Source organism: Homo sapiens, chromosome 12, assembly GCF_000001405.40.
Source record: "Homo sapiens chromosome 12, GRCh38.p14 Primary Assembly".
Classification (NCBI taxonomy): Eukaryota; Metazoa; Chordata; class Mammalia; order Primates; family Hominidae; genus Homo; species Homo sapiens.
Genome location: NC_000012.12, coordinates 37,643,184 through 37,655,965, shown reverse-complemented (window position 1 = coordinate 37,655,965; position 12,782 = coordinate 37,643,184). Strand labels below are relative to the sequence as shown.

At 36.7% G+C, this 12,782-nt stretch overlaps 3 annotated features.

Annotated features, from left to right (window-relative positions):
• Nucleotides 1,537–2,475: an enhancer, noted in NCBI's record as "OCT4-NANOG hESC enhancer chr12:38047293-38048231 (GRCh37/hg19 assembly coordinates)". NCBI's record gives its function as "activates a minimal SCP1, AML or CMV promoter by ChIP-STARR-seq in primed H9 embryonic stem cells {active_cell/tissue: H9 hESC(primed)}" and the evidence as "EXISTENCE:reporter gene assay evidence [ECO:0000049][PMID:30033119]".
• Nucleotides 3,095–3,634: an enhancer, noted in NCBI's record as "OCT4-NANOG hESC enhancer chr12:38046134-38046673 (GRCh37/hg19 assembly coordinates)". NCBI's record gives its function as "activates a minimal SCP1, AML or CMV promoter by ChIP-STARR-seq in primed H9 embryonic stem cells {active_cell/tissue: H9 hESC(primed)}" and the evidence as "EXISTENCE:reporter gene assay evidence [ECO:0000049][PMID:30033119]".
• Nucleotides 7,831–8,332: an enhancer, noted in NCBI's record as "NANOG hESC enhancer chr12:38041436-38041937 (GRCh37/hg19 assembly coordinates)". NCBI's record gives its function as "activates a minimal SCP1, AML or CMV promoter by ChIP-STARR-seq in primed H9 embryonic stem cells {active_cell/tissue: H9 hESC(primed)}" and the evidence as "EXISTENCE:reporter gene assay evidence [ECO:0000049][PMID:30033119]".

The window sequence follows — 12,782 nt, the reverse complement described above, 5'->3', positions numbered from 1 at the left end:
TGTTTCAGTGTAGTTTTTATTTGAAGATATTTACTTTTCCACCGTAGGCCACAAAGGGCTCCAAATATCCACTTGCAGATTCTACAAAATGAGAGATTGGTAACTGCTCAATCAAAAGATAGGCTCAACTCTGTGAGTTGAATGAAGCCCTCACAAAGAAGTTTCACAGAATGCTTCTCTGTAGTTTTTATGTGAAGATATTTCCTTTTCCACAATCCGCCTCAAAGCTCTCCAAATATCCACATGCAGATTCTGCAAAAAAAAAATAACAGATCCTGACTGCACAATCAAAAGATAGATACAGCTCTGTGTGTTGAATGAACACCCCAAAAATAAGTTTCTCAGAATGCTTCTGTGTAGTTTTTATGTGAAGATATTGGCTTTTCCACAGTAGTCCTCAAAGCGCTCCAAATATCCTCTTGCAGATTTTGCAAAAAGAGAGATTCAAAACTGCTCATTCAAAAGATAAGTTCAACTCTGTGAGTTGAATGCACACTTCACAAAGAAGTTTCTCAGAATGCTTTCGTGTAGTTTTTATCTGAAGATATTTGCTTTTCAACGGTAGGCCTCAAAGCACTCCAAATATCCACTTGCAGATTATACAAAAAGATTGTTTCAAAACTGATCAATCATATGAAAGGTTCATCTCTGTGAGATGAGTGCACACATCACAAAGAAGTTTCTCAGAATGCTTCTGTGTAGTTTTTATGTGAAGTTATTTGCTTTTCCACAGTAGCCCTCAAAGCACTCCAAATATCCTCTTGCAGATTCCGCAAAAAGAGAGATTCAAAACTCCTCAATCAAAAGATAGTTTCAAATCTGTGAGTTGAATGCCTACATAACAAAGAAGTTTCTCAGAATACTTCTGTGTAGCTTTTATGTGAAGATATTACCTTTTTCAAAATAGGCTTCAAAGCCCTCCAAATATCCACTTCCAGAATGCACAAAAAGAGTGTTTCAAAACTGCCCAATCAAAAGAAAAGTTCGACTCTGTGTGATGAATGCACTCATCACAAAGCAGTCTCTCTAAATGCTTCTGTGTAGTTTTTATTTGAGATATTTCCTTTTCCACCATAGGTCGCAAATGGCTCCAAATATCCACTGGCAGATTCTGCAAAAAAACAGATTAAAAACTGCTCAATCAAAAGATAGTTTCAACTCTGTGAGTTGAATGCACGCATCACAAAGAAGTTTCTCAGAATGCTTCTGAGTAGTTTTATGTGAAGATTTACCCTTTTCCACCTTAGGCTTCAAAGCACTCCTGGTATCCACTTGCAGATTCTACACAAAGAGTGTTTCAACACTGCTCAATTAAAAGAAACGTTTAACTCTGTGAGATGAATGCACAAAAAAAAAGTTTCTGAGAATGCTACTGTGTAGTTTTTATGTGAAGATATTTCCTTTTCCACAATAGGCCTCAAAACGCTACAAATATCCACCTGCACATTCTACAAAAAGAGTGTATCAAGACTGCTCAATAGAATGAAAGGTTCACCTCTGTGAGATGAGTTCTCACAACACAATGAAGTTTCTCAGAATGCTTCTGTGTAGTTTTTATGGGAAGATATTTCCTTTTCCACCATTGGCCAAATAGGGCTCCAAATAACCACTTACAGATTCTACAAAAAGAGAGTTTCAAAACTACTCTATGAGAAGATGGGTTCAACTCTGCGAGTTGAATGAACACATCACAAAGAAGCTTCTCAGAATGATTCTGTGTAGTTTTTACTTGTAGATATTTCCTTTTCCACCATAGCCCTCAAAGCTGTCCAAATATCCAATTGCAGATTCTACGAAAAGAGTATTTCAAAACTGCTCAAACAAAAGAGAAGTTCAACTCTGTGAGATGAATGCACACATCACAAGGAAGTTTCTCAGAATGCTTCTGTGTAGTTTTTATGTGAAGATATTTCCTGTTGCACAATAGGCTTCAATGCCCTCCAAATATCCACTTTCAGATTCTACAAAAAGAGTGTTGCCAAACTGCTCAATCAAAGGAGAGGTTCAACACTGTGAGATGAATGCACTCATCACAAAGAAGTTTCTCAGAATGTTTCTTGTAGTTTTTATGCGAAGATATTCCCTTTTCCACAATAGGCCTCAAAGAGATCCAAATATCCACTTGCAGATTCTACAAAAAGAGAGTTTCAAAACTGCTCTATCAAAAGATAGGTTCAACTCTGTGAGATGAATGCACACATCACAAAGTAGTTTATCATAATGCTCCTGTGTAGTTTTTATGTGAAGATATTCACTTTTCCACCATAAGCTTCAAAGCGCTCCAAATATCCACATGCAGATTCTACAGAAAGAGTGTTTCAAATCTGCTCAATCAAAAGAAAGTTCAACTCCGTGAGATGAATGCACAAAATCACAAAGAAGTTTCTCAGAATACCTCTGTGTAGGTTTTATGTGAAGATATTTGCTTTTCCACAGTAGGCCTCATAGCGCTCCAAATATCCACCTGCAGATTCCACAAACAGAGTGTTTGGTAACTGCTCAATCATAAGGTGGGTTCAACCCTGTGTGATGAATGCACACATCACAAAATATTTCTCAGAATGCTTCTGTGTAGTTTTTATTTGAAGATATTTCCTTTCCCACCATAGGGTGCAAAGGGCTCAGAAAATCGACGTGCAGATTCTACAAAAAGAGAGATTCAAAACTGCTCCATCAAAGACAGGTTCAACTCTGTGAGTTGAATGCACCCATCACAAAGAAGTTTCTCAGAATGCTTCTATGTAATTTTTATGTGAAGATATTTCTTTTTCCATAGTAGGCCACAAAGAGCTCCAAATATCCACTTGCAGATTCTGCAAAAGGGGAGTTTCAAAACTGCTCAATCAAAAGACAAGTTCAATGCTGTGAGTTGAATGCACACGTAACAAAGAAGTTTATCAGATTGCTTCTGTGTAGTTTTTATGTGAAGTTATTTCCTTTTCCAAAATAAGCCACAAAGCCCTCCAAATATCTGCTTCCAGATTCCAAGCAAAGAGTTTTTCAAAACTGGTCAATCAAAATAAAGCTTCAACTCTGTGTAATGAATACACTCATCACAAAGAAGTTTCTCTGAATGCTTCTATGTAGTTTCCATTTGAAGATACTTCCTTTTCCACCATAGGGTGTAAAGGGCTCCTAACATCCACTTGCAGATTCCACAAAAAGAGATTCAGAACTGCTCAATCAAAAGATAGTTTCAACTCTGTGAGTTGAATACACACATCACAAGGAAGTTTCTCAGAATGCTTCTGTGAAGTTTTTTATGTGAAGATATTTCCTTTTCCACAATAGGCCTCAAACCCTCCGAATATCCACTTTCAGATTCTACAAAGAGAGTGTTTCAAAACTGCTCAATCATAAGATAGGTTCAACCGTGTGAGAAAAATGCACACATCACAAAGAAATTTCTCAGAATACTTCTGTGTAGTTTTTATTTGAAGATATTTCCTTTTCCACCATAGGGCAGAAAGGGCTACAAATATCCACTTACATATTCTACAAAAAGAGAGATTCAAAACTGCTCAATCAAAAGACAGGTTGAACTCTGTGAGTTGAATGCACCCTTCAAAAAGAAGTTTTACAGAAATCTTCTGTGTAGTTTTTATGTGAAGATATTTCCTTTTCCACTATGGGCCTCAAAGCTCTCCAAATATCCACTTGCAGATTCTGTAAAAAGAGACTCAAAACTGCTCAATGAAAAGATAGTTTCAACTCCGTGTGTTGAATGCACACCTCACAAAGAAGTTTCTCAGAATGCATCTGTGTAGTTTTTATGTGAAGATATTTGTTTTTCCACATTGAGCCTCAAAGCACTCCAAATTTCCACCTGCAGATTCTACAAAAACAGTGTTTCAAAACTGCTCCATCAAGAGATAGGTTCAACTCTGTGAGTTGAATGCAGACATCACAAAGTAGTTTCTTAGAATGCTTCTGTGTAGTTTTTATGTGAAGATATTTCCTATTCCACAATAGGACTCAAATCGCTCCAAATATCCACTTGCAGATTCTACACAAAGAGTATTTCAAAACTGCTCAATCAAAAGAAAGGTTCAACTCTGTGAGATGAATGGACAAATCACAAAGTGGTTTCTCAGAATGCTTCTCTGCAGTTTTTATGTGAGGAAATGTCCTTTCCAACAATTCTACTCAAAGCGCTCCAAATATACACTTGCAGATTCTACAAAAGCAGTGTTTCAAAACTGCTCAATCATAAGATAGGTTCAACATTGTGAGATGAATGCACACCTCACAAAAAAGTTTCTCATAATACTTCTGTGTAGTTTTTATTTGAAGATATTACCTTTACCACCATAGGTTGCAATGGGCTCCTAATATCCACTTGCAGATACTGAAAAATGAGAGATTCAAAAGTGCTCAATCAAAAGATAGGTTCAACTCTGTGAGATGAATGCACACATAACAAACAAGTGTTTCAGAATGCTTCTGTGCAGTTTTTATGTGAAGATATTTCCTTTTCCAAAATAGGACTCAAAGCCCTCCAAATATCCACTTCCAGATTACACAAAAAGAGTGTTTCAAAACTGCTCAATCAAAAGAAAGGTTCAACTCTGTGAAATGAATTCAAAAAATCACAAAGAAGTTTCTGTGAATGTTTCTGTGTAGTTTTTAAGTGAAGCTATTTCCATTTGCACCATAGGCTGCAAATGGCTCCAAATATCCACTTGCAGATTCTACAAAAAGAGAGTTTCAAAGCTGCTCCATCAAAAGATAGGTTAAACTCTGTGAGATGAATACACACATCACTAAGAAGTTTCTCAGATTGCTTCTGTGTAGTTTTTATGTAAAGATATTTCTTTTTCCACCAGAGGCCTCAGAGTGCTCCAAATATTCAGTTGCACATTCTACAAAAAGAGTGTTTCAAAACTGCTCAATCAAAAGAAAGGTTCAACTCTGTGAGATGAATGCACACATCACAAAGAGGTTTCTGTGAATCTGTCTGTGTAGTTTTTATGTGAAGATATTTCCTTTTCCACCAGATGCCACAAAGGTCTCCAAATATCCACTTGCAGATTCTGCAAAAAGAGATTCAAAACTGCTCTATCAAAAGATAGGTTCAACTCTATGAGATGAATACACACATCACAAAGAAGTTTCTCAGAATGCTTCTGTGTAGTATTTATGTGAAGATATTTCCTTTTCCACAATAGGCATCAAAGCAATCCAAATATCCCCTCACAGATTCTACAAAAAGATTGTTTCAAAGCTGCTCAATCAAAAGAAATGTTCAACTCTGTGAGATGAATGCACACAAAAGGAAGAAGTTTCTGAGAATTCTTCTGTGTAGTCTTTATGTGAAGGCATTTCCTTTTCCACAATAGGCCTCAAATCACTCAAAATATCCACTTGCAAATTCTACAAAAAGAGTGTTTCAAAACTGCTCCATTAAAAGAAAGGCTCAACTCTGTGAGGTGAATGCACACATCACAAAGTAGTTTCTCAGAATGCTTCTCTGTAGTTTTTATGTGAAGATATTGGCTTTTCCACTGTAAGTCTCAAAGGCCTCTAAATATCCACTTCCAGATTCTATGAAAACAGTCATTCAAAACTGCTCAATCAAAAGAAGGGATCAACACTGTGAGATGAAAGCACACATCACAAAGAAGTTTCTCAGAATTCTTCTGTGTAGTTTTTATGTGGAGACATTTGCTTTTCCCCCATAGGCATCACAGCGCTCCTAATATCCACTTGGAGATCCTACAAAAAGAGTGTTTAAAAACTGCTCAAAAGATATACCTAATGCTAGATGACAAGTTATTGGGTACAGCGTACCAGCATGGCACATGTATACATATGTAAATAAGCTGCACATTGTACACATGTACCCTAAAACTTAAAGTATAATAATAATAATAATAAACTTCTCAAAAGAATGGATCAACACTGTGAGATGAATGCACACATCACAAAGGAGTTTCTCAGAATGCTTCTGTGTAGTTTTTATTTGAAGATATGTGCTTTTCCACAACTGGACTCAAAGCGCTCCAAATATCCATTTGCAGATTCTACAAAAAGAGTGTTTCAAAACTGCTCAATCATAATATAGCTTCAAACCTGTGAGGTGAATGCACACCTCACAAAGACGTTTCTCAGAATGCTTCTGTGCAGTTTTGATTTGAAGATATTACCTTTCCACCATAGGTCGCAAAGGGCTCCAAATATCCACCTGCAGATTCTGCAAAAAGACAGATTCAAAACTGCTCATTCAAAAGAGAGGTTCGACTCTGTGAGTTGATTGCAAATCTCACAAAGAAGTTTCTCCGAAGGCTTCTGTGTAGTTTTTATGTGAAGATATTTGCTTTTCCACAGTAGGCCTCAAAGCTTTCCAAATATCCCCTTGCAGATACTGAAAAAAGAGAGATTCAAAACTGCTCAATCAAAAGATAGGTTCAACTCTTTGAGTTGAATGCACACATAAAAAATAAGTTTCTGAGAATGCTTCTGGGTAATTTTTACGTGAAGATATTTTTTATTCCAAAATAGGACTCAAAGCCCTCCAAATATCCACTTCCAGATTCTACAAAGGAGTGTTTCAATACTGCTCAATCAAAAGAAAGTTTCAACTGTGTGAAATGAATGTAAAAAATCACAAAGAAATTTCTCAGAATGCTTCTGTGCAGTTTATATGTGAAGATATTTCCTTTTCCACAATAGGCCGCAAAGGGCTCCAAATATCCACTTGCAGATTCTACAAAAAGTGAGTTTCAAAACTGCCCTATCAAAAGATAGGTGCAACTCTGTGAGATGAATGCACACATCACAAAGAAGTTTCTCAGATTGCTTCTGTGTCGTTTTTATGTGGAGATATTTCTTTTTCCACCACAGGCCTCAGAGCGCTCCAAATATCCAGTTGCTGATTCTACAAAAAGAGTGTTTCAAAACTGCTCAGTCAAAAGGAAGGTTCAACTCTTTGAGATGAATGCAAACATCACAAAGATGTTTCTGAGAATCCCTCTGTGTAGTTTTTATGTGAAGATATTTCCTGTTGCACAATAGGCTTCAATGCCCTCCAAATATCCACTTGCAGATTCTACAAAAAGAGTGTTGCCAAACTGCTCAATCAAAGGAGAGGTTCAACACTGTGAGATGAATGCACTCATCACAAAGAAGTTTCTCAGAATGTTTCTTGTAGTTTTTATGCGAAGATATTCCCTTTTCCACAATAGGCCTCAAAGAGATCCAAATATCCACTTGCAGATTCTACAAAAAGAGAGTTTCAAAACTGCTCTATCAAAAGATAGGTTCAACTCTGTGAGATGAATGCACATATCACAAAGTAGTTTATCATAATGCTCCTGTGTAGTTTTTATGTGAAGATATTCACTTTTCCACCATAAGCTTCAAAGCGCTCCAAATATCCACATGCAGATTCTACAAAAAGAGTGTTTCAAATCTGCTCAATCAAAAGAAAGTTCAACTCCGTGAGATGAATGCATAAAATCACAAAGAAGTTTCTCAGAATACCTCTGTGTAGGTTTTATGTGAAGATATCTGCTTTTCCACAGTAGGCCTCATAGCGCTCCAAATATCCACCTGCAGATTCCACAAACAGAGTGTTTGGTAACTGCTCAATCATAAGGTGGGTTCAACCCTGTGTGATGAATGCACACATCACAAAATATTTCTCAGAATGCTTCTGTGTAGTTTTTATTTGAAGATATTTCCTTTCCCACCATAGGGTGCAAAGGGCTCAGAAAATCGACGTGCAGATTCTACAAAAAGAGAGATTCAAAACTGCTCCATCAAAGACAGGTTCAACTCTGTGAGTTGAATGCACCCATCACAAAGAAGTTTCTCAGAATGCTTCTATGTAATTTTTATGTGAAGATATTTCTTTTTCCATAGTAGGCCACAAAGAGCTCCAAATATCCACTTGCAGATTCTGCAAAAGGAGAGTTTCAAAACTGCTCAATCAAAAGACAAGTTCAATGCTGTGAGTTGAATGCACACGTAACAAAGAAGTTTATCAGATTGCTTCTGTGTAGTTTTTATATGAAGTTATTTCTTTTTCCAAAATAGGCCTCAAAGCCCTCCAAATATCTGCTTCCAGATTCCAAGCGAAGAGTTTTTCAAAACTGGTCAATCAAAATAAAACTTCAACTCTGTGTAATGAATGCACTCATCACAAAGAAGTTTCTCTGAATGCTTCTATGTAGTTTCCATTTGAAGATACTTCCTTTTCCACCATAGGGTGCAAAGGGCTCCTAACATCCACTTGCAGATTCCACAAAAAGAGATTCAGAACTGCTCAATCAAAAGATAGTTTCAACTCTGTGAGTTGAATACACACATCACAAAGAAGTTTCTGAGAATGTTCCTGTGTAGTTTTTATGTGAAGATATTTTCTATTCCACAATAGGCCTCATAGCGATACAAACATCCACTTCCAGATTATACAAAAAGAGTGTATCAAAACTGCTCAATCAAATGAAAGGTTCACCTCTGTGAGATGAGTGCTCACATCACCAAGAAGTTTCTCAGAATGCTTCTGTGTAGTTTTTATGGAAGATATTTCTTTTTCCACCATTGACCACAGAGGGCAACAAATAGCCAGTTACAGATTCTACAAAAAGAGTTTCAAAACGGCTCTATGAAAAGACAGGTCCAATTCTGCAAGTTGAATGCACACATCATAAAGAAGCTTCTCAGAATGATTCCGTGTAGTTTTTATGTGAGGACATTTCATTTTTCCAACATAGGCCTCGAAGCACTCCAAATATCCACTTGCAGATTCTATGAAAAGAGTATTTCAAAACTGCTCAATCAAAAGAGATTTCAACTCTGTGAGATAAATGCACACGTCACAAGGAAGATTCTCCAAATGTTTCTGTGTTGTTTTTATGTGAAGATATTCCCTGTTCCACAATAGGCCTCAAAGCGCTCCAAATATCCACTTGCAGATTCTACAAAAAGAGTGTTTCCAAACAGCTCAATCAACAGTGAGGTTCAACTCTGTGAGATGAATGCACACATCACAAAGAAGTTTCTCAGAATTCTTATGTGTAGTTTTTATGTGAATATATTTCCTTTTCCACCATTGCCAGAAAACTGCTCCAAATATCCACTTGTAGATTCTACAAAAAGAGAATTTCAAAACTGCTCTATCAAAAGATAGGTTCAACTCTGTGAGATGAATGCACACATCACAAAGAAGTTTCTGAGAATGCTTCTGTGTAGTTTTTATGTGAAGATATTTCATTTTCCCCCATAGGCCACAAATCGCTTCAAATATCCACCTGAAAATTCTGCAAAAATAGTGTTTCACAACTGCTCAATCAAAAGAAAGTTTCAACTCTGTGAGATGAATGCACACATCACACAGGAGTTTCTCAGAATCTTCTGTTGCGTTTTTATGTGAAGATATTTCTTTTTGCACCATAGGCCACAAAGGGCTGCAAATATCCACTTGCAGATTCTACAAAAAGGGAGTTTCAAAACTGCTCTATCAAAAGATAGGTTCAACTCTATGAGATGAATGCACACATCACAAACAAGTTTCTCAGAATGCTTCTGTGTAGTTTTCTGTGAAGATATTTCCTTTTCCACAATAGGCCTCAAAGCGATCCAAATATACAACTGCAGATTCTACAAAAAGACTGTTTCAAAGCTGCTCAGTCAAAGGAAATGTTCAACTCTGTGAGATGAATGCACGCAAAGGGAAAAAGTTTCTGAGAATGCTTCTGTGTAGTTTTTATGTGAAGATATTTCCTTTTGCACAATAGGCCTCATAGCACTCCAAATATCCACTTGCAGAATCTACAAACAGAATGTTTCAAAACTGCACAATCATAAGAAAGTTTCAACAATGTGAGATGAATGCACACATCACAAAGAAATTTCTCAGAATGCTTATGTGTAGTTTTTTTTTGAATATATTTCCTTTTCCAACATGGGGCGCAAATGGCTCCAAATATCTATGTTCAGATTCTACAAAAAGAGAGATTCAAAACTGCTCTATGAAAAGATAGTTGCAACTGTGTGAGCTGAATGCACCCATCACAAAGAAGTTTCCCAGAAAGCTTCTCTGTAGTTTTTAAGTGAATATTTTTCCTTTTCCACAATAGGCCTCAAAGCTCTCCAAATATCCACTTGCAGATTCCGCAAAAAAAGAGATTCAAAACTGCTCAATCAAAAGATAGGTTCGACTTTGTGTGTTGAGGGCTCACCTCAAAAAGAAGTTTCTCAGAATGCTTCTGTGTAATTTTCGTGTGAAGATATTTGCTTTTCCACAGTACATAACAAAGCGCTCCAAAAATCCACTTGCAGGGCAAAAAGAGAGATTCAAATCTGCTTAATCAAAAGATAGGTTCAACTCTGTGAGTTGACTGAACCCATTACAAAGAGCTTCTCAGAATGATTCTGTGTAGTTTTTATGTGAAGATATTTCCTTTTCCAAAATAGACCTCAAAGTGCTTCAAAACTGCTCAATCAAAAGAAAGATTCAACTCTGTGAGTTGAATGCACACATCACAAAGAACTTTCTGAGAATGCTTCTCTCTAGCTTTTATGTGAAGATATTCCCGTTTCGAATGAAGGCCTCAAAGAGTTGCAAATATCCACTAGCAGATTCTACAAAAGGAGTGTTTCAAAACTGCTCTATCAAAAGAAAAGTTCAACACTGTGAGTTGAAAGCACACATCAGAAAGAAATTTCTCTGAATGCTTCTGTGTAGTTTTTATTTTAAGATATTTCATTTTCCAGCATACGGTTCAAAGGGCTCCAAATATCCACTTGCAGATTCTACAAAAAGAGAGATACAAAACCTCTCAATCAAAAAATAGTTTCAACCCTATTAGTTGAATGCACACATCAGAAAGTGTTTTGAAACACTTTTTGTAGAATCTGCAAGTGGATACTTGGAGCTCTTTGAGGTCTTCTGTGTGCTGTGTGCATTCAACTCTCAGAGTTAAACCTTTCTTTTGATAGAGCAGATTTGAAACACTCCTTTGGTAGAATATGCAAGTGATTATTCGAGGCGCGTGGAGGCCTACGGTGGAAAAGGAAATATCTTCACATAAAAACTAGGCTGAATCATTCTCAGAATCTTCTTTATGATGTGCACTTTCAAATCACAGAGTTGAAACTTTTTTTGATAGCGCAACTTTGAAACACTCTTTTTGTAGAATCCGCAAGCAAATATTTGGAGCGCTTTGAGGCTTATGGGGGAAAATGAAATATCTTCACATAAAAACTATACAAAAGCATTCTCAGAAACTTCTTTGTGATGTGTACCTTCATCTCAAAGAGTTGGATCTTTCTTTTGATAGAGCAGTTTTGAAACTCTGTTTTTGTAGAATCTTCAACTGGATATTTGGAGGGCTTTGAGCACTATAATGGAAAAGGAAATGTCTCCACATAAAAACAAGACAAAAGCATTCTCAGAAACTTCTTTGTGATGTTTGCATTCAACTCACAAAGTTGAATCTTTCTTTTGATTGAGCAGTTTTGAAACACTCATTCTGTAGAATCAGCAAGTGGATATTTGGAGCGCTTTTAGCTCTATGGTGGAAAAGGAAATATCTTCACATACAAAGAAGACAGAATCATTCTCAAAAACTTCTTTGTGATCTGTACATTTAACCCACAGTGTTGAACCTTTCTTTTGATAGAGCAGTTTTGAAAAACTCTTTTTGTTGAATCTGCAAGTGGATATTTGGAGCACTTTGAGGCCTATGGTGGAAAAGAAAATATCTTCATATAAAAACTAGTAGAGAGAAGCATTCTCAGAAACTCCTTTGTGATGTGTGCATTCAACTCACAGAGTTGAATATTTCTTTTGATAGAGCAGTTTTGAAACATTCTTTTGGTAGAATCTGCAAGTGGATATTTGGAGTGCTTTGAGGACTATGGTGGAAAAGCAAGTATCTGCACAAAAAAACTAGACAGAAGCATTCTCAGCAACTTCTTTGTGATGTGTGCATTCAACTCACAGAGTTGAAACATTCTTTAGATACAGCAGTTTTGAAAACTCTTTTTGTAGAATTCGCAGGATGGATATTTATAGCACTTTGAGGCCTATGGTTTAAAAGGAAATATCTTCACATTAAAACTAGACAGAAGCATTCTCAGCAACTTCTTAGTGATGTGTACATTTAACTACAGAGTTGAATATTTCTTTTGATAGAACAGTTTTGAAAGACTCTTTTTGTAGTATATGCAAGTGGATATTTGGAGGGCTTTGATGCCTACTGTGGAAAAGGAAATATCTTCACATAAAAACTAGACAGAAGCATTCTCAGAAAGTTTTTCTCTGATGTGTGCATTCAACTCACAGAGATGAACCTTTCTATTGATAGGACAGTTTTGAAACCCCCTTTTTGTGGAATCTGCAAGTGTTCATTTGGAGCGCCTTGAGGCCTATGGTGGTGAAGGGAATATCTTCACATAAAAACTAGACAGAAGCATTCTCAGAAACTTCTTTGAGATGTGTGTATTCAACTCCCAGAGTTGAACATTCCTTTTGAGAGAGCAGTTTTGAAACAGTCTTTTTGTAGAATATGCAAGTGGAAATTCAGAACGATTTCAGGCGTATGGTGGAAAAGGATATATCTTCACATAAAAACTAGGCAGAAGCATTCTCAGAAACTTCTTTGTGATGTGTGCATTCAACTTACAGAGTTGAACCTTTCTTTTGGGAGAGCAGTTTCTAAAAAGTCCTTTTGTAGAATCTGCAAATGGAAATTAGGAGCGATTTCAGGCCTGTGGTGGAAAAGGAAATATCTTTGCATGAAAACTTGACAGAAGCATTCTCAGAAACTTCTTTG